We start from the raw sequence: 23,859 nt of genomic DNA, 5'->3' as shown, positions 1-23,859 counted from the left end.
ACAGCATATCACAAAGCACACCAGCATACTTCATTGCAGCCTTGTGACAATGCTGTGAGGTAGAAATGACAGTTATTCTGCTTTAAGAGAAAAGGGATCTTAGGTTTAGTTGAGGTTATAAAGATTGCCAGAGGTATCTAGTAAGAGTCAGACATAAGACTAACACGGACCTTCTCACTCCAAAATTCCTTTCCAAATAACCATGCTGCTCCTTCACTTAGATTCATGGAACCTCATCGTATGCATGATTCACAAATCTATACTCACAGTTCTTATCTATCTCTGAAACTGAGAACCCCCCGCCATCCATCTGCAGGAAATCTCCACCTGAATGTCCTACAGCTGAAGGTCTCACTCTTCTGTTTCTCTCACAGTATCTACTACAGGGTTCTATATGAAGCAGGCACTTAACAAGTTTTGAATAGACAAATGACATATTTCAAAGGAAAAAGGAGAAAGAAGCCAATAACTGAGCTGAATTGTGTGGCGGGAACCTAGGGAGTATAGGGATCAGACAGATACTAAGTTCTCATCCTCTCCACCCAAGATGAATATCATTGGCACCGGTTATACCTAGCTAGGGGATCAGGGATGAGAAGCAGCCATCTTCTTCTGGTGGCCCAAGTGACAAAGGGCCTCCATATAGTCAGCTACAATGGAAGCAACACCAGCCTGGAAGGTTTTAGACACTCTTGATGACTAGATTAAAGGCTCTTTAAAATTACCTAAGAAAATATGGCAGAAGAGAAGCCTAAAGATTAAATCGTGGCTTTGATTGTCTTATGACTTCCACAGCATTTGCGAACCTATCTCTGATGCTTATTAGCGATGTCAGCTTTCACAAACACCTTAAAGTTTTTCAACCTCAGTTTCCTTACATGTACAGTAGGAAAAATAACATACATCTCATAGGGTTGCTGGGAAGGCTGCTATGTGATGCTATAGGTACCATATGATGCTAAATAAATATTAATTACCATAAGCACGAGTCTTATTCTCCTGGCCATTAAATAATATAATATGACTGCAAGTTAGAAACCTTCACATTTAAATAGTGAATTCATAATTTTGCCTGATCTCATGCTTTGTGTTTTGGAAAATATAAAGATGACAAGTCTGGCCAAGCCAACTAATACATGATTTTTTTTTTTTTTTTTTGAGGGAGTTTCACTCTTGTCCCTCAGGCTGGAGTGCAATGGCACGATCTCAGCTCACTGCAACCTCCGCCCCCCAGGTTCAAGCGATTCTCCTGTCTTAGCCTCCTGAGTAGCAGGGATTACAGGCGTGTACCACCACGCCCGGCTAATTTTTGTATTTTTAGTAGAGACGGGGTTTCACCATGTTGGCCAGGCTGGTCTCAATCTCCTGACCTCAAGTGATCTGCCCGCCTCGGCCTCCCAAAGGGCTAGCATTACAGGCATGAGGCCACTGCACTCGGCCCCAACTAATACATGATCTTGGTTGTAGGAATAATTCATGATGAATGCTGCCGAAAGGTGGTTTTCAACTGATCCTGTCAGAGACAGGCCAATAAAGTCCAACTACTTTACTTGTGAATTGCTAAGGAAATTGAGCATCACGGAAAATAGTAAGCTTCCAGATCAACCTTGATAAACCACCTCCTGAAAGAAAGATGTACTTATTTTATAAAGAGTATATGTGAGAGTTAGTGAGAAACTACTCCCACACCACAACTTCCCACCAAGCACAGAAAGCTGATTAAATCAATTCCAGGGCAGGCTTGCAAAGAAGATGAAAGGCTTGGCATTCTTGAATAATAACAAGTCAAGAGCTGCATTATGAAGTGATACTTGACACTTAGCAGTTTTTCTTTTTTGTAAAGATGCTCTCATTTACAGGATTTTGAAATGACTTTGAGCATTTCCCCATGGGTAGGTTCAAGGCTTCATAGGTGACATTAGTCAAAATGTTTGCACTTGTGTGTGCAGTTTGCAGAAAGAAAGCAAACAAGAGGCAATGCTCTACCAGAAGTGAGGGAGGGCAGACCAGATTCCAATGTGAGAAATAAAGCTGGGTGGATAGGAACACTAAGAAATGGGCATCTTACTACATGGTTCTTTCACAGTGGTTTCTTGGTAGATGCTGCAGAGAGGCTGAATTTAACAGCTGTAGGTTGACTGCCTCTCAAAGGAATTCTCATAGATGCCACCTGTATCTGAGAAAATGGGATGTTAAACATTTATGTTGGGCAGTAACAATAAGTACTCACCAAATTTTGCATTTTCCAACTTCTTTTGCTGTAGAACCCAAACCACTTGTCAAAGAATCAAAAGAGTGACCCTAAGAGGTCATGTCAAGCTTTCCTTTGATTCTGGGCAGCCGTCAGATAAATCAATGTCCAATCTGCTCTTCAAGGATCTTTCAAAAGGCTGGAGTCACAGTTTTCCATTCCCCAGAGTTAAAACATGATTTATTTTATGGAAACTAAATTTCTCCTACCATAAAGAATTTTCTTTCACATAGGTGTTACAAAGGATGGGATGTGTTATTCTTATATAGGATGCCTTCTTCTGCAATATCTGCCCTAGACCTACCTGAAAAAAAAATCACCATTAGACTGTCTGTTAATTGAGGGAAAACTGCTCCGCAGGAGTATTTCACAGAATCACAGCAACAAAGAACTTTAGAGGTAGGGAAAAGAAACTTCATGATCTGTGGATTCAACCCCTGATTTTAAAGTGTAGGTGTTCCTCCACTAGGGCAACCATCCATTCCAGATGGGGTTTCTAGGATGTGGGACTTTCAGTGGTAAAATCAAGACAGTCTTGGGCAAACCAGTATGGTTAGTTGTCATATTTTCCACTCAGATTCAATCTAACAGCAAATCTGGTTAGCTTTACCTCCCAAATAAGCTTCAAATCTGATGCCTTCTCCCCAACTCCACTGCCACCAGATGGTCCAAGATATTTTGTAGCTTTGCCTATTGTGATCACTCCCTAACATGTTTCTCTGCTTTTGCTCCTGCCCAACTAAAATCCCTTTTATGCGCACCTTCAAGGGTGACCTCTCCAGAAAAAGCAAAAAAGTTATCAAATCACATCAGTATTCTCCTTAAAATTCTTCAGTTACTTTCCTTGGCATATAGAATAACAGAAATATCTTACCAAGGCAAAAATCGGACTTGGCTGTATATTACTATCTTCCCCACAGTTGACTTAGGCTGTTCTAATTTAAATTCAAGCTAAATATAAAAAATGCACTCATATACCTTAGAGAAGAGGAATGAAGAAGATGAAACAACACTAGAACTGCTGCTCTAAACCTTTCTACTTTATCTAATAAATGTCAGAGAAGGTTTCATAGAGTAGGTGCTCCATTTTGGGGGGCACTTTCAAAAGGAGAGCTCATGTTAGGTCCGGGGTAGATTTCCAAGTGCATAGTAAATATAACATATTAAAAGAAGAGCAAACAGGTCCCCATCGTCCTCGTGTGTTAAGTGAAATATTTGGAACTGCTTGAACCTACTTCCTAGAAATCATCCAGTTACAGCTTTAACCTTAGCTCTCTAAATGACCACCATGAGTAAACAGAAGTGGGCATAGGTATCTGTTTTAAAAGCTATTTGTAGTAGTCAACCTTGAAACTCAGTAAGAGTAATCAAATACTTTCCCAGTAAAACTTTTGCTTGTGAATAATATTCTATGCATTGTTAGCTTAAAGAGTATCAGACCCAAAGTAACTGCAGCACAGAGAAATACCACTGTCTTTTTAAAGCCACGCAGCTGATAATGAGCAGAGACAAAACGAAGCACCAAGTCTCCTAGGATTTTGTGCACCTCCTCATTGCTTCTATCTCGTTAAGTCAACAAGGGCAGACTCCAGAGTGTGGTGGGCTTGGCTCAGCAGTGGGAATCTAGACCAGTGGTTATCAATATAGAAAGGGGAAGAAGAAAGCACTGACTGTATCAAAATAATTGATCTCACCTAGCACCAGAAGAATTCAACCCTAATTCTCAGAGCTATTCTCTGAGAGTAAAGAAAATGGCCATAAAATTTAAAAACACATGAAAGACACTGGTAAGAGGATGAGAAGATAAGCCACAGAAAGGGGAAAATATTTGCAAAACACATATCTGATAAAGGAACTGTAACTAAGGCCCATCTATGTAAGGATTTGATAAAGACTGAAAATATTTTTTTAAAACTCAACAATTTAAAAAAAATGATTTAAAAACGGGCAAAAGATCTGAACAGTCACTTCACTAAAGAAGGTACACAAGAATGCTTGTGATTTTTGTGCATTGATTTTGTATCCTGAGACTTTGCTGAAGTTGCTTATTAGCTTAAGGAGATTTTGGGCTGAGACAATGGGGTTTTCTAGATATACAATCATGTCATCTGCAAACAGGGACAATTTGACTTCTTTTTCCTAATTGAATACCCTTTATTTCCTTCTCCTGCCTAATCGCCCTGGCCAGAACTTCCAACACTATGTTGAATAGGAGTGGTGAGAGAGGGCATCCCTGTCTTGTGCCAGTTTTCAAAGGGAATGCTTCCAGTTTTTGCCCATTCAGTATGATATTGGCTGTGGGTTTGTCATAGATAGCTGTTATTATTTTGAGATACATCCCATCAATACCTAATTTATTGAGAGTTTTTAGCATGAAGGGTTGTTGAATTTTGTCAAAGGCCTTTTCTGCATCTATTGAGATAATCATGTGGTTTTTGTCTTTGGTTCTGTTTATATGCTGGATTACATTTATTGATTTGCATATATTGAACCAGTCTTGCATCCCAGGGATGAAGCCCACTTGATCATGGTGGATAAGCTTTTTGATGTGCTGCTGGATTCGGTTTGCCAGTATTTTATTGAGGATTTTTGCATCAATGTTCATCAAGGATATTGGTCTAAAATTCTCTTTTTTGGTTGTGTCTCTGCCCGGCTTTGGTATCAGGATGATGCTGGCCTCATAAAATGAGTTAGGGAGGATTCCCTCTTTTCTATTGATTGGAATAGTTTCAGAAGGAATGGTACCAGTTCCTCCTTGTATCTCTGGTAGAAATCGGCTGTGAATCCATCTGGTCCTGGACTCTTTTTGGTTGGTAAGATATTGATTATTGCCACAATTTCAGATCCTGTTATTGGTCTATTCAGAGATTCAACTTCTTCCTGGTTTAGTCTTGGGAGAGTGTATGTGTCGAGGAGTTTATCCATTTCTTCTAGATTTTCCAGTTTATTTGCGTAGAGGTGTTTGTAGTATTCTCTGATGGTAGTTTGTATTTCTGTGGGATCGGTGGTGAGATCCCCTTTATCATTTTTTATTGCATCTATTTGATTCTTCTCTCTTTTTTTCTTTATTAGTCTTGCTAGGGGTCTATCAATTTTGTTGATCCTTTCAAAAAACCAACTCCTGGATTCATTAATTTTTGAAGGGTTTTTTGTGTCTCTATTTCCTTCAGTTCTGCTCTGACTTTGGTTATTTCTTGCCTTCTGCTAGCTTTTGAATGTGTTTGCTCTTGCTTTTCTAGTTCTTTTAATTGTGATGTTAGGGTGTCAATTTTGGATCTTTCCTGCTTTCTCTTGTGGGCATTTAGTGCTATAAATTTCCCTCTACACACTGCTTTGAATGTGTCCCAGAGACTCTGGTATGTGGTGTCTTTGTTCTCGTTGGTTTCAAAGAACATCTTTATTTCTGCCTTCATTTCGTTATGTACCCAGTAGTCATTCAGGAGCAGGTTGTTCAGTTTCCATGTAGTTGAGTGGTTTTGAGTGAGTTTCTTAATCCTGAGTTCTAGTTTGATTGCACTGTGGTCTGAGAGATAGTTTGTTATAATTTCTGTTCTTTTACATTTGCTGAGGAGAGCTTTACTTCCAAGTATGTGGTCAATTTTGGAATAGGTGTGGTGTGGTGCTGAAAAAAATGTATATTCTGTTGATTTGGGGTGGAGAGTTCTGTAGATGTCTATTAGGTCCACTTGGTGCAGAGCTGAGTTCAATTCCTGGGTATCCTTGTTGACTTTCTGTCTCATTGATCTGTCTAATGTTGGCAGTGGGGTGTTAAAGCCTCCCATTATTAATGTGTGGGAGTCTAAGTCTCTTTGTAGGTCACTCAGGACTTGCTTTATGAATCTGGGTGCTCCTGTATTGGGTGCATATATATTTAGGAAAGTTAGCTCTTCTTGTTGAATTGATCCCTTTACCATTATGTAGCGGCAATTCCTCAGGGATCTAGAACTAAAAATACCATTTGACCCAGCCATCCCATCACTGGGTATATACCCAAAGGACTATAAATCATGCTGCTATAAAGACACATGCACACGTATGTTTATTGCAGCACTATTCACAATAGCAAAGACTTGGAACCAACCCAAATGTCCAACAATGATAGACTGGATTAAGAAAATGTGGCACATATACACCATGGAATACTATGCAGCCATAAAAAATGATAAGTTCATGTCCTTTGTAGGGACATGGATGAGATTGGAAATCATCAGTCTCAGTAAACTATCCCAAGAACAAAAAACCAAACACCGCATATTCTCACTCATAGGTGGGAATTGAACAATGAGAACACATGGACACAGGAAGGGGAACATCACACTCTGGGGACTGTTGTGGGGTGGGGGGAGGGGGGAGGGATAGCATTGGGAGATATACCTAATGCTAGATGACGAGTTAGTGGGTGCAGCGCACCAGCATGGCACATGTATACATATGTAACGAACCTGCACATTGTGCACATGTACCCTAAAACTCAAAGTATAATTAAAAAAAAAAAATCTGAAGAAAAAAAAAAGAAGGTACACAAATGGGAGGAAAAAAGCATATGAAAAGATGCTTGGCGTCATTCGTCATTAGGGAATTGCAAATTAAAACAATGAGATACCATTAAACATCTATTAGAATGGATAAATTCAGAAAACTGACATATTAAATGCTGGTAAGGATGGCAAGCAACAGGAACTCTCATTCATTGCTGGTGGGAACTCAAAATGGTGCAGCCACTTTGGAAGACAGTTTGGCAGTTTCTTATAAACTAAACCTGCTCTTACCATACATCTAGCATTCACGCTCCTAGGAATTTACCCAATTAGGCTGAAACCTTATGTCTACACAAAACGTGTATGTGAATCATTACTAGTAGCTTTAGTCATAATTCCCCAAAACTGGAAGCAATTAAAATGTACTTCTATAGGTAAACAGATAAACAAACTGTGGTACATCCACCCTGTAGAATATTATCTAGCAAAAAAAAAAAAAAAAAAAGGCACAAGCTATCAAGCCACAAAAAGATACAGAGGAACCTTAAGTGCATATTGCTAAGCAAAAGAAACCAGTCTGAAAAAGCTACCTACTGTATGATTCCAATTACATGACCTTTCGGAAATGGCAAACTATAGAGACAATGAAAATATCAGTGGCTGCCAGGGTGTCGGGGGGAGGAGAAAAAAATAAAACACAGGGGATTTTTAGGGTGATAAACTATTCTGTATTATGCTGCAATAGTGGATACATGACACGACACATCTGGCAAAACTCGCCAAACTTCACAGCACAGAGTGAAACTTAATGCATGCAATTTTTTTTTTTTAAATTAGGCCAGGCGCAGTGGCTCACGCCTGTAATCCCAGCACTTTGGGAGGCAGAGGTGGGCAGATCACTTGTGGTCAGGAGTTCAAGACCAGCCTGGCTAACATGCTGAAACCTTGTCTCTACTAAAAATACAAAATTAGCCCGGGCATGGTGGCGCACGCCTGTAGTCCCAGCTACTCAGGAAGCTGAGGCAGGAGAATAGCTTGAACCCGGGAGGCAAAGGTTGCAGTGAGCCAAGATCATGCCATTGCACTCCAGCCTGGGCAAAAAGAGTGAAACTCCATCTCAAAAATAAATAAATAAATAAAATAAAATCACTTAGGTCAGGAGACCTCAGGAAAGAATGAAGACAATGACAGGAGAATCTAACTGTATTACCATGTATGAAACAACCTCACTGAAGTGAGAGAGGAAAAGATGCCAACCTAAGTAACTCTGGAAATGAATGAAGTCTGTAAGACTACAGGCTATAGGAACTGCATGTAAACACTGTACTGCAGTGAAGTTGTTTCCCACAGGGGTTATGGGCTAACAATTTTGATACAGCTATCTATGTATACTAGAACTGAACAACTTAGTAAATGCAGGGCAGATGGTGTGAGACAGGTTTCTCACTGCGGGAGTAGAATTTATAGATAAGCAAAGGGAGAAGGCCAGAATAATCCATGTGATAATGTATAGAGTTGAAGATATCAATCAGCACTCATGTTTAGCTTACTAGAGACACAGATTGTTACATATAGGAATGTTTATAGATGTATGTATATACTACTCTTAATATACATACATATCTTTCTTTGCTCTGTCAGTTAAAAGTGCCAAAAAAAAAAAATGCCAGTAGCAACAAGGGTACATAGTACCTGGAAGTTGGTTTCTGATATCACTCTCCAATGAAAGGAACTAGGGTTCCTGGAAGAAATGGCTGATTCTAGGACTGGGGCAGAAAATATACAAGATGAGCCTGGAATACCTTCTAGTGTCAGAAAGTAAGGAAGTCCTAAAAGCAAATTTTGTTTAATTGATGGGCTATGACAAAGGGGCACAGGAGCCAATTCAAAGAGCTCCCACACTTTGGGAGGCTGAGGCGGGCGGATCACGAGGTCAGGAGATCAAGACCATCCTGGATAACACGGTGAAACCCCGTCTCTACTGAAAAATACAAAAAATTAGCCAGGCATGGTGGCGGGTGCCTGTAGTCCCAGCTACTCAGGAGGCTGAGGCAGGAGAATGGCATGACCCCGGGAGGCGGAGCTTGCAGTGAGCCGAGATAGCACCACTGCACTCCAGCCTGGGCGACAGAGCAAGACTCCGTCTCAAAAAAAAAAAAAAGCTCCCAATGTCCAAATCTGACACAACATGAGCAACAAGATGAAGTGATATTGGACTATAACTCAAGATACAGAATAAATATCCATGATTCCATTTATTTACATTCATGATATAAATCAATGATTGAATAAATTAATAGAACAGGAGAAAAGACATCCTCCATGCAGAAGACTTCCAAATCATTTATGCGGATTCTCTGCCCTTAAACAGGTGGAACATACCTCTTCACTCCTTAAGTGTAGGCTGTGCATGGTGACTTCCCTCTGAAGGGGACATTATGGGGGTAACTTTACTGTGGAGAAAGCCAACAAGTACTATGTCAGCCAGGTGATCAAGGTCAGCACCAACAGTCAACATATTGATAATATGGACCCATGATATGACATGATGAAAATGGCATTTTACATCTGTGATCTTCCTCCCCAAAACACATACTCCCAGCCTAATCATGAGAAAAACACCAGATGCATGTCTGTCCACCACCATGCCCAGCTATTTTTTTAAAATTTTTGTGGATACAGGGTCTTGCTATGTTGCCCAGGCTGGTCTCGAACTCCTGGCCTCAAGCAACCCTCCCACCTAAGCCTTCAATTTTTATTTTAATCTAAAATAAAGCCTAGTAATTTTAAAAATCAATAACACTAGTTTGGATTCTAACGTGCTTTTAGGGCCTTTACAAATAAAGCAAGCACGATTATGCTGGAGGCCCCCTTTTCTGGTGTACTTACTTATAAAGCAAAGTTCAGGGGAAAACCTTGCCTACCATTTTTTCTGATATCAAGAGGATTTCTAATTACTACAAGGTGCCCCCCGCACAACAGGGCATTTTGAAGAATTTTGAACTCCAACAGTAGATACAGAATACCAGTTCTTACATTTGGATATCAATATTTGAACTATTTCTCTGGATAATGCCCAGAATAAAAGATGAAGCCATACATAAACCACTGTGCTCTCCTTCCAAATGGTTCCAGGGTTCCTGCTCTTGCAGCTGCATGGGTTACTGCCACACTTTGGGTGCAAATTGTATTGGAGGATTCAGGTAAATAATAAGGAGAAGAGAATTTTCCTCCATTAATTTCAGTAGCACTGCTTTGAAACCACTGAGGTCAGTATGTAGACACAATAAAATGTCACAGTGTTCTCTTTAGAGAAATTACAATCTATTTTCGTTCAATACATTTTTGTGACCAACTCCCTCTCAGTTATGTCCTTCTCACTCCAACACATACACGCACACAGCCATCTAAAAATCTAGTGTTGTATTTCTCTAATTTCCAAGAATCACCTGTCACCTCTATTTTGCAACCACAAAGATCAATATCCTTTGGAAGTTGGTATAGTATTATTGTTTTAAAAATAGGAAAAAATATATATAATGATGGTTTAAAATGATACTTCCATTCAATGAAATGCTGTATAAGCCTTTTTCAAATAAATACAGTAACATCTAACATATCTAAGATAATTATGTAAAAACACAAAGTTACTAAATAGAACATAACTAGATTTTTATTAAGAAATGGCGCATGTTAATACATTCAAAAAAGCATTTAGAGAAATGTATGCCAAACCGCTTTACTGGGTGGATGGAATGATTAAGGATTTTCACTTTCATGTAGGGATTTCAGTAATGGTTAAACTTTTGTAAACAGAGCATATTCTTTTTGTAGTTTGGAAAATTTTCCATATTAAAAACTATGTATTTTCTCTTGAACACTGTGTAGCCTGATGCAATGAGGTGCTGGGAATTCAGTGGAGAGCGTCACACTCTTCTCCTTCTGCTCTGCTGGGACCCAGGCTGGACCCAGAATACAAAGTCTGTACTCTGCATGGCAGAGTACAAAGTCTGAGACCCTCTCCTTAGTCTTGTGGCTGGTCTAGAATGAACACTGTTACTCCTGTGCAGAATTTATATTTAAAACTCCATCGTGAAAACATTTATAGAAGCTTTTCCAGGAACATGGGCCTTTAGAGCGGTAAGGAACCTAAGAGGCCACCTAAGAGCCTGGGAGGTCAAGGCTGCAGTGAGCTGTGATTGCACCACTGCACTCTAGCCAGAGTGACAAAGGGAGAACCTGTTTCAAAATAATAATAATAATAGTAGCTGCTGAAAATTATAAAATAGCTGCTAGATGATATCTTATATAGTCCTTTGTAATGCTGTGAGCTAGGAGCTCCATGCCTGGCACATAGTGGCTACTCAATAAATATTTATTTAGTGCATAAGTTGATTGCTGAAGAGTAGGTAGGCTTATACTCTGTTCTATTCTTCTTTTTCCTGAGTTTGTAATATAGATTTTGGCAACTCTATCTCAGTTACTTCATACTGAACTTGCAAAAAAAAGAAAAAGAAAAGAAAAGAAAAAAAGCAGTGGACTAGAAACGAGACAACCTGAGTTCTCATTCTGGTTATGTTATTTATCAGCTGTGCAAACTTGGGGAAGTCAGTTCACATCTGTGCAAGCCTCCTTCCTACCTGCAAAATGTGGGAGAATTGGGAAAGTGGATTTCAGCAACAAAATTCTGAACATCAGCTATAGCATCAGAACTTCTGCTAACCCTCTGTCATGCTTAAGCTCAAGACTTTTCAATTATACTTATTAAATATAATCTTTTCAGTCTTGGCCTCTTAATTTTTATGTTAAGTCACCTCCCCTACTTTGAGCTTTGTAGTGGCTGAAGCAGTGATAACTCATTTTTACATGACCAGAAAGTAGGCCTTGTTTGTTTTAAGAAACCGTCTTCTCAATGGTTCTGTTATTATACTCATCAGGGGTTTTATGCCCAGAACCAGCCTCTGAAATTAAAGTCCAGTGGAAACACTTGAGAGATGTTTTGAACATGGTAGTCTTAAGAACCACCCAGAACAAAAACACTCCACCTGGGAAAATTAACACATTTTTTCTATATGAACTAGATGATTCCAAAATGTCTTCTGGAAAAATATATATATATTGTCCACTAAAAATGAACGTACAAAAACAAGCAAATGGGGAACCGAAAACTGTATTAGAAAACCACTTGTCAATGTGTATATATACCCATGGCAGGGTCTAATTTTCCAAATTTAGTTTTACATTGTCAAATAGACAGTACTAGCAAATATTGTCTAGGAAGAAATTACTTTTCATGACTCAACCCAATGTCAGCAAAACACATTTGTTCAACCATGAGGCAGATTTCAGTACAAGGTGCAAGCTCTTTAATGAAGTCAGCAAGAGAGTTTCCATTTTTGGTGCAGGTTTACATGGATGAATTGAAACCTCACCTTCAACCAGAGCAATGAGTTTTCATTTGCTTTGGCTAGTACAGACAGATTGCATCTCATTACTCTGCATTAATACTGCTTTGTAAAAAGCAACAACAACAATTCCAGCAAGTGAATGTACGTTTTTGAATTTAAGCTTGCGACAGCATTTCGGGACTATTTCTTTGGCAGAGATTTTTTTCTTAATCTTAAAATAAGATTGCTAGAAGCTGCCATCTTTCAAAATCTTCTTAACCTTTCTCCATTCCACTAATCACTACTCCAAAGCCAGAAGACATCAAGAATTACTACTGTATAGGAAAAATGCAAATGCCCAAGACATCTTTCTCAAGCTAGGAGCAACTCAGCAACTGGGCCAAATAAATAGGCCAAATAAGCAAAAGTCTGCTTCCGTTCCTGGGATGGGACACCTCGCACTTTGATCTTGACTCATCGGAAAAATTGAACCAAACAATAGGAACTGAAAATAAGAATAATTGGCAAAGTATTTTGAAAAAGATCAAGATGTGTAGACAAGAAATAATGCTGAAGGAAAAGAAGTGTTTTTCCACTGATAACAACAATTTCTTTTCATGACACAGTAAAAAATAGGCAAGGATGATCATAAATCACTCTGAAGATGGAAAGCGCAGGAAAATTCAAAAGACAGTAAAGTGAGAGCATCTGGGAAATCAAACTGCGGGGGATGGGAGGAGGCATAAAATAGTGACAAAATAACCCAAAATAGATTCTCTTGTGTGATTCAGCAGGAGGTGCCACAAAGAAGACAGTTCAGAGGAAAACACAAAGGGAGGTGTTCGTTAGACTGTAAAAGAGATAGGGAATAGAAGATGAAGGGTTTTTTTAAAATTTATTTATTTTTTTAACGTTGCATTTGACAATGAAGGGCCGCTTAGGGAAAGTGGGTGATTGTGTAAGGGCAAAGAGCTACACTCAGCTTTTAAAGAACTCAGAACTTCCAGAGAACTGGCAGAAACAGATTCTTTTACTTATTCCATGACGATGCTGTAAAGTACTGTACTCCTAGTAGAGAGAGTTCTGTGCACTTGCTCAATGGTTGCTTTTCCTTTTTTACAGTGGGGAGGTAAGAAGGTATGAAAATGGTACTCCCTAATTCCACTTTCTCATTTCCACTATCAAAAATAGCATTTTTAAGGATGTTCATTTCTGTCTTAATTAACTGCAGTGAGACAGAACATTTAAAACAATCGAGTTTTTTCAAAGCTCTATACTTCTGCCCTGTAGACCCCCATGGTATCTAGATACCTTATATGTCATATGTCGCTGTTTGTCCTCCAACACTGGGAAGGATCTAGGGGACACAGTTCGAATAAAACTTCTGGGCTGTGAGTTAATAAGAAATGTCTTTTTCTTTTGGAAATGGTTTTGAGATTGATTCTCTGAGTACAGCAGGGAAATTTACAGTCTAATGGCAAGAGCAGTGGGGACCAGAACTCATGCCATTTTGAAGAGAAGCATCTTGCTTCTGTTTTTGAATTTAGGAGAAGGGGGGAAGGATTTTGAGGTAGAAAACTGAATAATACAAATTGGCTTTAATTATAACAAACAAGATTGATTATTGGATAATATTATATACGTGAAACTAGAGACCCATTTTCCTTGAAAATGATTCTTAAAACTACTGCAGGTTATGGAAACCCTACCTATTAATATATTTTCAATACTTAGTCAATAGATATAAATGCATCAAACAGGTACATACAGGAAAACTGGCATCAAGGGCTGTGATCAGGAAACTAACATAATGCTAAATCCCAATTCATCTGAGAAGAATGAACATGGCTTAACTTTCAGTGGACATAAATTTCTTTTATGAGTACAACTTCTGTCATCTTGTATTTTATTCCTAATTTGTAAAAATTGAGCACTAAGGCAATGCAACAAATTTTCAGTTTTCTAAGCCCCACACTATGGAAATTTGCAGATGGCAGGGGCCAGAAGTCAGCAAAGGATCCCAGCAGGAGTGCTCATGTGACATCTGCCACCTTCCTAAGTGCCGAAGTAATACGCCCACTACAGCTGTGGGGGCAGGACTCACTGCTCCTGGTAGAAAGCAGAAATCCTGCCCACCCACTTCCATGTTGATTCTCTTACTTCCCTTGCTGCATCATTCGTTTCTCGAGCTAAGTAGGTATGAAGCACTGGTCTGGACAGGTGAATCACTAACCCTAAATTCCAGTTCAGGTCCTGACACTAATTTGCTTTGTGGCTTTGCATAGGTCACCCTCGAGCCTCAGTTTCCTCCTCTGAAAGTTTATACTTCTGGTCTAGAAATGACTTACAATCTCTTTGAGCTCTAATTTTTTTTTTTAATTTTTTCTACCTTTTTGGACAGAAAGAAGGGACATCTAAGAGAGGGGTTCTGCTCTCCTGCAAGCTGTGGACATCACCTTGAGGGAAGTAAAGTTCATAACTGGAGTCCTTTCAGCCTGACTGAGCCTCTAATATCAGCCTTTTTCAACAAGGGTTCCATGAGAGAATTAGCCTTTAACATCCTACAACACCCACTCTCTATGATGAATGAACAACCCCTCCCCTCCTGCTTCTAGATGGTAGATGGTACAATATATACTCCATTTTTGGAAGAATTCAGAAAACAGCCACTCAGATCTATTTCCAGGTTGTGGTTCAGATGAGGAACTCCAGTTGAGAAAGGATGCAAGATGTTACTTTCCAATAAATTTAATATTAGAATGATAAGGCTTAAAAGAACTATGTAGATCATTCTATTCCAGTGGTTCTCAAAGTGTGGTGTTTCCAGAGCAGCAGCAGCAGCAGCAGCATCTGAAAACATGTTCAAATGCAAAGTCCACTGAATCAGACCGGGCGCAGTGGCTCATGCCTGTAATCCCAGCACTTTGGGAGGCTGACGCGGGTGGGTCACTTGAGGTCAGAGGTTCGAGATCAGCCTGGCTAACATGGTGAAGCCCTGTCTCTACTAAAAATACAAAAATTAGCTGGGTGCAGTGGGGCGCACCTGTAGTCCCAGCTACTCGGGAGGCTGAGGCAGGAGAATCACTTGAACCCAGGAGGAGGAGGTTGCAGTGAGCTGAGATCACACCATTTCACTCCACCCTGAGTGACAGAGTGAGACTCTGTCTCAAAACAAAACAAAACAAAGTCCACTGAATCAGAAACTCTGGGGATGGGGCTTAGCAGTGTGTGGTTCAACAAGCCCTACAGGTACAGGTGATTCCAATGCACTCTAACATTTGAGAACCACCATTCTAGTCTCTAGATCTTTATTTTCAGATGAGAAACACAGGAGTACAGGAAAAGTCACTTGCCCAAGACTATACATCTAGGGTATAGGTGGGCCATGATTAGATTCCAAGTGTTATGGACTGAATTGTGTCTCCTGACAAAATTCATAAAGCCCTAACCCGAAATGTGACTCTATTTGGAGATAGGGCCTTTAAAGAGATAATTAAGGTTAAATAAGGTCATAGTCATAAGGGTGGAGCCCTAATCCAATAGGACTAGTGTCCCTGTAAGAAGAGGAAGGGACACCAAGGACCTGTGTGCAAGAGAAAAGGCCACATGAGGACACAGTGAGAAGGGGACCATCCACAAGCCAAAGAGAGAGGCCTCAGGAGAAACTAAACCTGCCGACACCTTGATCTTGGACATTCAGTCTCCAGAACTGTGAAAAATAAATTTCTGCTGTTTAAGCCACCCAGTCTATGGTGTTTTATAATGGCATCCCTAGCAGGCTAACACGCCATGTCTTCTGATTCTCTGGATAGGAATCTTTACATTTTAATTAAATGATTTTGGAATTCTGGATCAAGCCTCCAACATCAAAAGAAACAAATGCAACTCTAGGAAGGCTGCACTGTCAGCATGACAGACAGTAAGAAGAGCACATCCTGGAGCCCCTGACCCTCTGCACAGGTCTGGCACTGCTCAAAAGGTAAGTTCTCCTAACCTGCAATGTGTGCAATGGTTGTGTCATGGTGATGTGAGAGCTGTGGTCCTTCCTTAAAGCGTTCAAAGGGAGCCACTAAGTTGGAAGAAGCTAAGGAAGATTGAATAACACAAAGTACATGGCGTTTGTCCTTGGAGGAGAAGCAGGCAGTAGGATCAGGATGGGTCTGTAGGAAGGGCAGTGGCCAAACGCCCTTTGGACAGGCCACCCCTGGACAAAAGTGTCTCATATACACCTCAAGCTCAATCTGTCATCTTCCTTTCTTCTTCTCTTTTAAGCCACAAAAACATTCCTCCTTTGGTGTTCCACGACTAAGGTAATGGCAATTTTTTTTTTTTTTTTGAGACGGAGTCTTGCTCTGTCGCCCAGGCTGGAGTGCAGTGGTGCTATCTCGGCTCACTGCAAGCTCCGCCTCCCGGGTTCACGCCATTCTCCTGCCTCAGCCTCCCGAGTAGCTGGGACTACAGGCGCCCACCACTACACCCGACTAATTTTTTGTGTTTTTAGTAGAGACGGGGTTTCACCGTGTTAGCCAGGATGGTCTGGATCTCCTGACCTCGTGATCCGCCCGCCTCGGCCTCCCAAAGTGCTGGGATTACAGGCGTGAGCCACCGCGCCCGGCCGGTAATGGCAATTTTAACCTTCTAGTTATGCCAGCTGAAATCCTTGCCTTCTGAGGCTATCTTTGGCTTTTTGTGATTCCCTCCTCTTCCATATCCACTAGGCAGCACCCAATCCCGTTCATGTGAAATATCTTTCAAATCCTTCCCCTCTTCTTCATCCTGGCTACCATAACCTTGGAAGACACTTCTGTCATCTCTTGCCTGGACTAAACTTAAAGTCTTGTAACTCGTTCCCTGGTCACTGGCCTTAGTCTTTCATCCTCTCCAAAATACGGGCAGAAGTCTTCCTTCTAAAACGTAAATCTCAGAAAGAGCTCTCCGTGAGCCCATCAGCCCTTCCAGTCTGACCTGGGGCCACAGCCCTGCCACCTCAGCAGGCTGCAGTAGCAGCCACACCTCTCCAGTCCCACGGCCCAGCACGTAAGTGCCTTCGGTCCTGTGGGTCCGAGTGTGCAGTAGTCCTAATGTCTACTGGAAAAATGTCCGCTTTTTCCTTTGTGTGTGAAATGTCATACATGATATATTAACAGCCCTCATGTTCCAACCACCGATATAAGAAAGAGAATATGACCAGTCTTCGGAAGCCCTCTGACTCCCTGCCTCCCTTCCATCTGCCAGAAGCTGCAGCTATCCTTAATGTGCAGTTTTGTCAGTCTCTTGCTTTCCTTTATAGTTTTACAGTGTGTATGTACACATAAATAACATATTGTTTAGTTTTGCTTGTTTTTAAGAGGAAACGAAGTTTGTATTTTTCAAGGACTTTTTTTTGTCACCATTATGTTCATGAAATTTGCCCACATTGTTGCAGGTAACTAGCTATTTCATTTCACTGCTCCTTCTATAAATATATATGAATATATGTATGTGAAAGGAAATTAAATTTGGGGACCCTAAAGGCATTTAGCCAAAGGGAAAAGTCAAGCTGGGAACTGGGTCACGAAAACCTGCCTCCCCCTTTCGGTTCCTAAATAAGATGGCTACAAGATGAAAAGCTACATGCCTCCCCCATATTTTGCCCACAAGGAAATTCCTAGTGAGCTGTTAAAATTTCACCACGGCAATGGAAATTGATAACTTGTCTTTACAGGTGCAGTCACCCCAGCCCACCAGACACAAACGCACATCTGACTATTCCCCTACCCCGTTTTGTCTGTGTTCTCTTATGTAAAATGCAGATTCCCCGCATTTTTCCTCTGCCCCTTTTATGTCATCTTATGTAAAAATGCAGATTCACTTACATGAAAACTATGTACTTCTCAATATCCCGCCCTTTCCCCTTTAAATTTGGAGCCCCGAAAATCATCTTTGAGGAAAGCCATAGACCTGTCTCCCAGGTGCATCCTTAAATAAATCTCCTAAAATGGGCCGGGTGCGGTGGCTCACGCCTGTAATCCCAGCACTTTGGGAGGCCAAGACGGGCAGATCACAAGGTCAGAAGATCGAGATCATCCCGGCTAACACAGTGAAACCCCGACTCTACTAAAAATACAAGAAACTTAGCCGGGCGTGGTGGCGGGCGCCTGCAGTCCCAGCTACTCGGGAGGCTGAGGCAAGAGAATGGCGTGAACCCAAGAGGCGGAGCTTTCGGTGAGCCAAGATCGCGCCACTGCACTCTAGCCTGGGCGACAGAGTGAGACTCAGTCTCAAAAAAAAAAAAAAAAAAAAAAAAAAAATCTCCTAAAATGATTGAGACTTGTCTCATCATTTTCCTCTACTGACATATGTATAATGTACACACCTTCTCCATTCTATTGCTGATGGGCATGTGTGTTGTTCCCAGTTGTTCAGTACTATGAACATACTTGAACACATACCTGATGCACATGTGGATGAGTTTAGAGGCTCCACTGGGAGGAATTGCTGGGTCACAGGAAATGTGTATATTCAACTTCACCATGTTATCAGGTTATTTTCCAAAGTGACTGTACCAGTTGACAGTCATGATGAAATAGTTTTTCTTCATCTATTCATAAATTCCAACTGATGTTATTTTGTTTAGGACTTTAGCATCTATGTTCAAAAGTGAACACATGCAAAAAAAAATGGCACTTGGATTGTAATTTTCCTTTCTGAAAATTAATAATCTTTGATTTTGGCTTAAAGTTTGTACTGGCCTCATACATTAATTTGGGAGTGTTTCTTCTATATCCACTGTTTTAGAAGGTTTTTGCAAGCTTGGAATTATCAGTTGCTTGATTTTTGTTGTTGCTGTAGAATTTGCCTATAACATTACCTAGGCTCTGTGTTTCTGGAGAAAACTTTCTTGGTAATACATTTTTCATTTTATTTAATAATTTATAGGAGCATTCTAATTGTCTTCTTCTTTGTGAGTCAGTTTTGATAATTTACATTCCTCTAGGAATCTGACCTAACATCTAAGTTTTCAAAATTATTGGCACAAAGTAGTTCAAAATATTCTCCTATCTTTTAAATCTCTGCTCCATCAGTAATGTACTCTTTTTGTTCCTAATATGGATTACTCATGCCTTCTCTTTTTTTATCAGTCTCCTCAGAGTTTTATAAACTTTTTTTTTTTTTTTTTTTTTTTTTTGAGACGGAGTCCTGCTCTGTAACCCAGGCTGGAGTGCAGCGGCACTATCTCGGCTCATGCAAGCTCCACCTCCCAGGTTCACGCCATTCTCCTCCCTCAGCCTCCCCAGTAGCTGGGACTACAGGCACCCGCCACCACGCCCGGCTAATTTTTTTTTGTATTTTTAGTAGAGACGGGGTTTCACCGTGTTAGCCAGGACGGTCTCGATCTCCTGACCTCGTGATCCGCCCGCCTCAGCCTCCCAAGTGCTGGGATTACAGGCGTGAGCCACCACGCCCGGCCAGAGTTTTAGAAACTTTATAGTCCTTGTATTGCAATACAAACGTCACAGGCATTCTTAGATTCCCCTGCACAGCTTCTTCTTTCTCCTTTGCATGGAGCTCACCTGTGCTGGATCATACCTCTACTTTCAAACGCAGATGAAAGACCATGCTGCTGAGCCAATGTGCCTGCTGGGCAACATGTTGTGCCCTTGACAGCTCATGGTGCTTTTTTCTTCCTTCCTTCCCTCCTTCCCTCCTTCCCTCCTTCCCTCCTTCCCTCCTTCCCTCCTTCTTTCTTTCTTTCTTTCTCTCTCTCTCTCTCTCTCTCTCTCTCTCTCTCTCTCTCTCTCTCTTTCTTTCTTTCTTTCTTTCTTTCGTCTCGCTCTGTCGCCCAGGCTGGAGTGCAGTGGCACCATCTCAGCTCACTGCAGCCTCCCAGGTTGAAGTGATTCTCCTGCCTCAGCCTCCCGAGTAACTGGGATTACAAGCATGTGCCACCACGGGTGGCTAATTTTTGTATTTATAGTAGAGACAGCGTTTCACCATGTTGGCCAGGCTGGTCTCAAACTCCTGACCTCAAGTGATCTGCCTGCCTCAGCCTCCCAAAGTGCTGAGATTACAGGCTCATGGTGCTTTTTGCTGATCTTTTTATCTCACTTTCATAGACTTGGACTTGTGTCTCTTAAGTAAAAGTATTAGAAACTTTAATCTGTACTTAAGTTTCTACTTTTTGGAGGACCCAGGCTAAAAAGTCTTTTAAAATAACCAGAATTTGGCTTTGTTTTATGAAATCTTTTCTTTTATTTATTGCTGTTCTTGTCTTTATCATTTATTTCCTTTCTGTTCCTTTCTTTAGGTTTATTCTTTAGGTTTTAAATTAAGATCTTATGTTAGATGGTTAATTTATTCCAACCTTTCTCTTCTTCTAGTACCAGCCTTTAAAAGGCAAGAGTTTTGTTCTATGAAGGATGATTAAATGAAATAAATAAACAAATACATAAATAGCAGGTAGGGGTTGGCAAACCAAGAAGCTTGGGCCAAAACTGATCCACTGATCTTTTTTTTTTTTTTAATTATTCTTTATTTTTTCACTTTTATTTTAAGCTCAAGTGTACAGGTGCAGGAAGTGCAAGTTTGGTACATATGTAACATGTGTCATGGGGGTTTGCTGTACAGATTATTTCATGCTGTACAGATGATTTCATCACCTAGGTATTAAGCCTAGTATCCATTAGTTATTTTTCCTTCTTCCCACCCTCCACCCTCTGATAGGCCCCAACGTATGCTGTTCCCCTCTATGTGTCCATGTGTTCTCATCATATAGCTTCCACTTATAAGTGAGAACATGCAGTATTTGATTTTCTGTTCCTGTATTAGTTTGCTAAGGACAATGGCCTCCAGCTCCATCCATGTCCCTGCAAAGAACATGATCTCATTCTTTTCTATGGCTGCATAGTATTCCATGGTGTATATGTACTGCATTTTCTTTATCCAGTCTATCACTGATGGGCATTTAGGTTGATTCTATGTCTTTGCTATTGTGAATAGTGCTGCAATGAGCATACACATACATGTGTCTTTATAATAAAATGATTTATATTCCTTTGAGTATATGCCCAGTAATGGGATTGCTGAGTTGAATGGTATTTCTGTCTTTAGGTCTCTAAGGAATTGCCACACTGTCTTCCACAATGGTTGAACTAATTTACACTCCCAACAGCAATGTAAAAGTGTTCCTTTTTCTTCACAACCTCACTGACGTGTGTTATTTTTTGGCTTTTTAATAATAACCATTCTGACTGGTGTGAGATGGTATCTCATTGTGGTTTTGATTTGCATTTTTCTCTAATGATCAGTAATGTTGAGCATTTTTTCATGTTTGTTGACTGCATGTATGTCTTCTTTTGGAGAAGCGTCTGTTCATGTGCTTTGCCCACTGTTTAATGGGGTTTTTTTTTTTTCTTGTCAATTTGTTTAAGTTCCTTACAGAGGCTGGATATTAGACCTTTGTCAGAAGCATAGTTTGCAAAAATTTTCTCCCATTCTGTAGGTTGTCTGTTTACTCTGTTGATAGTTTTCTTTTGCTGTGCAGAAGCTCTTTAATTAGATCCCATTTGTCAATTTTTGCTTTTGTTGCAATTGCTTTTGGCATCTTCATTATGAAATTTTTGCCTATGCCTATTTCCTGAATCGTATTGCCTAGGTTATCTTCTGGGTTTTTATAGTTTTTGGGTTTTACATTTAAGTATTTAATCCATCTTGAGTTAATTTTTGTATAAGGTGTAAGGAAGGAGTCCAGGTTCAATTTTCTGCATATGACTAGCTAGTTATCCCAGCATCATTTATTGAATAGGGAATCCCTTCCCCATTGCTTATTTTTGTCAGGTTTGTGGAAGATCCAATAGTTGTAGGTGTGTGGTCTTATTTCTGCGTTCTCTATTCTGTTCCATCGGTCTATGTGTCTGTTCTTGTACCAGTATCATGTTGTTTCGGTTACTGTAGCCTTTTAGTATAGTTTGAAGTTGAGTAGCATGATGCCTTCAGCTTTGTTCCTTTTGCTTAGGATTGCCTTGGCTATTCAGGCTCTTTTTTGGCTCCATATGAATTTTAAAATAGTTTTGTCTAGTTCCGTGAAGAATGTCAATGGTAGTTTAATGAGGCTAGCATTTAATCTATAAATTGCTTTGGGCAGTATGGCCATTTTAACAACATTGATTCTTCCTATCCATGAGCATGGAATGTTTTTCCATTTGTTTGTGACATCTCTGATTTACTTGAGCAGTGGTTGTAGTTTTCCTTGCAGAGATCTTTCACTTCCCTTGTTAGCTATATTCCTAGGTATTTTATTCTTCTTGTGGCAATTGTGAATTGATTTGGCTCTTGGCTAGACTGTTGTTAGTGTAGAAGAATATTAGCAATTTTTGCACATTGATTTTTGTATCCTGAGACTTTACTGAAGCTGCTTATCAGCTTAAGAAGCTTTTAGGCTGAGATTATGGGGTTTTCTAGATATAGGAACATGTTGTCTGCAAACAGGGATAGTTTAACTTCCTTTCTTCCTATGTGAATGCCCTTTATTTCTTTCTCTTGCCTGATTGTCCCGGCCAGAACTTCCAATACTACGCTGAATAGGAGTGGTGAGAGAGGGCATCCATGTCTTGTGCTGGTTTCCAAGGGATATGCTTGAGCTTTTGCCCTTCAGTATGATGTTGGCTGTGGGTTTGTCATATGTGGCTCTTATTATTTTGAGGTATGTTCCTTCAATACCTAGTTTATTGAGAGCTTTTAACATGAAAGGATGTTGAATTTTACTGAAAGCCTTTTCTGCATCTATTGAGATAATCATGTGGTTTTTGTCTTTAGTGCTGTTTATGTGATGAATCACATTTATTGATTTGCATTGTTAAACCAACCTTGTATTCTGGAGATGATGCCTACCTGATTTTTGATGTGCTGCTAGATTTGGTTTGCCAGTATACTGTTGAGGATTTTTACATTGATGTTCATCAAGGATATTGGCCTGAAATTTTCCTTTTTTATTGTATCTCTGCCAGGTTTTGATATCAAGATGATGCTGGCCTCATAGAATGAGTTAGGGAAGAGTCCCTCCTTTTCCATTTTTCAGAATAGTTTCAGTAGGAATGGTACCATCTCTTCTTTGTACATCTGGCAGAATTCAGCTGTGAATCCATCTTGTCCTGGGCTTTTTTTTTTTTTTTTTTTTTTTGGTTGGTAGGCTATTTATTATTGCCTCAGTTTCAAAAATTGTTACTGGCACTGACTGTTTTCTTAAATAAAGTTTTATCAGAACACAGACAGACCCATTTACTTTCATATTTATTGGATATGATTGATTTCGTGCTACAAAAACAAAGTTGAGTAGTTGCAACAGAGTTCTGACAGTAAATAGTGAGATTTATTATCTGTTCTGCTACAGAAAATTTTGCCCACCCTGCTTTAAGAATACAGATTTTTTTCTAAGTATTGCTTGAGCTACAACACATATATTTTGCTATATGGTATTTTCATAACTCTTCTGAACTTAGTTATTTCTACCATCAGGTATAATTTATTTGACTAAAGGAAGTTATGTGGGTCATTTAGAAAGTGTAATTTTTAAATTTTCAAATGCAGGTTTTTTTCAAGGTATCTTTGTTGTAACTGATTTCTAATCTAAATTGTTCTGTAATGAGAGAATAAGATTTATATGATACTGATTGCCTAAAATTTTTAGAAATGTTATTCTTGGCCTGGTACATGATCACTTTTTATAATTTCTGTGTGTGTGCTTAAAAATAGTATGTATTCTATA

At 39.9% G+C, this 23,859-nt stretch overlaps 1 protein-coding gene across 19 annotated transcripts in view; it reads right to left on the bottom strand.

Moving 5' to 3' along the window:
• RYR3 (ryanodine receptor 3) overlaps window positions 1-23,859 on the bottom strand; it is a 555,136-nt gene that overhangs the window by 509,762 nt on the left and 21,515 nt on the right. The window contains exon 1 of one of the 19 annotated variants that reach the window (XM_017022474.2): window positions 9,112-9,398. The exons of the other annotated variants lie outside the window; for them this stretch is intronic. Within the exon in view, the coding sequence (XP_016877963.1) occupies window positions 9,112-9,141 (30 nt within the window). The 5' untranslated portion in view covers window positions 9,142-9,398. Of the gene's footprint in view, window positions 1-9,111; window positions 9,399-23,859 lie in introns of those variants that run through there. 19 annotated transcript variants of the gene reach the window in all.

The sequence above is a fragment of the Homo sapiens genome, chromosome 15 (assembly GCF_000001405.40).
Source record: "Homo sapiens chromosome 15, GRCh38.p14 Primary Assembly".
Lineage (NCBI taxonomy): Eukaryota > Metazoa > Chordata > Mammalia > Primates > Hominidae > Homo > Homo sapiens.
Note: the sequence above shows the minus strand (reverse complement) of the source record. Positions and strands in the feature narration are given on the sequence as shown.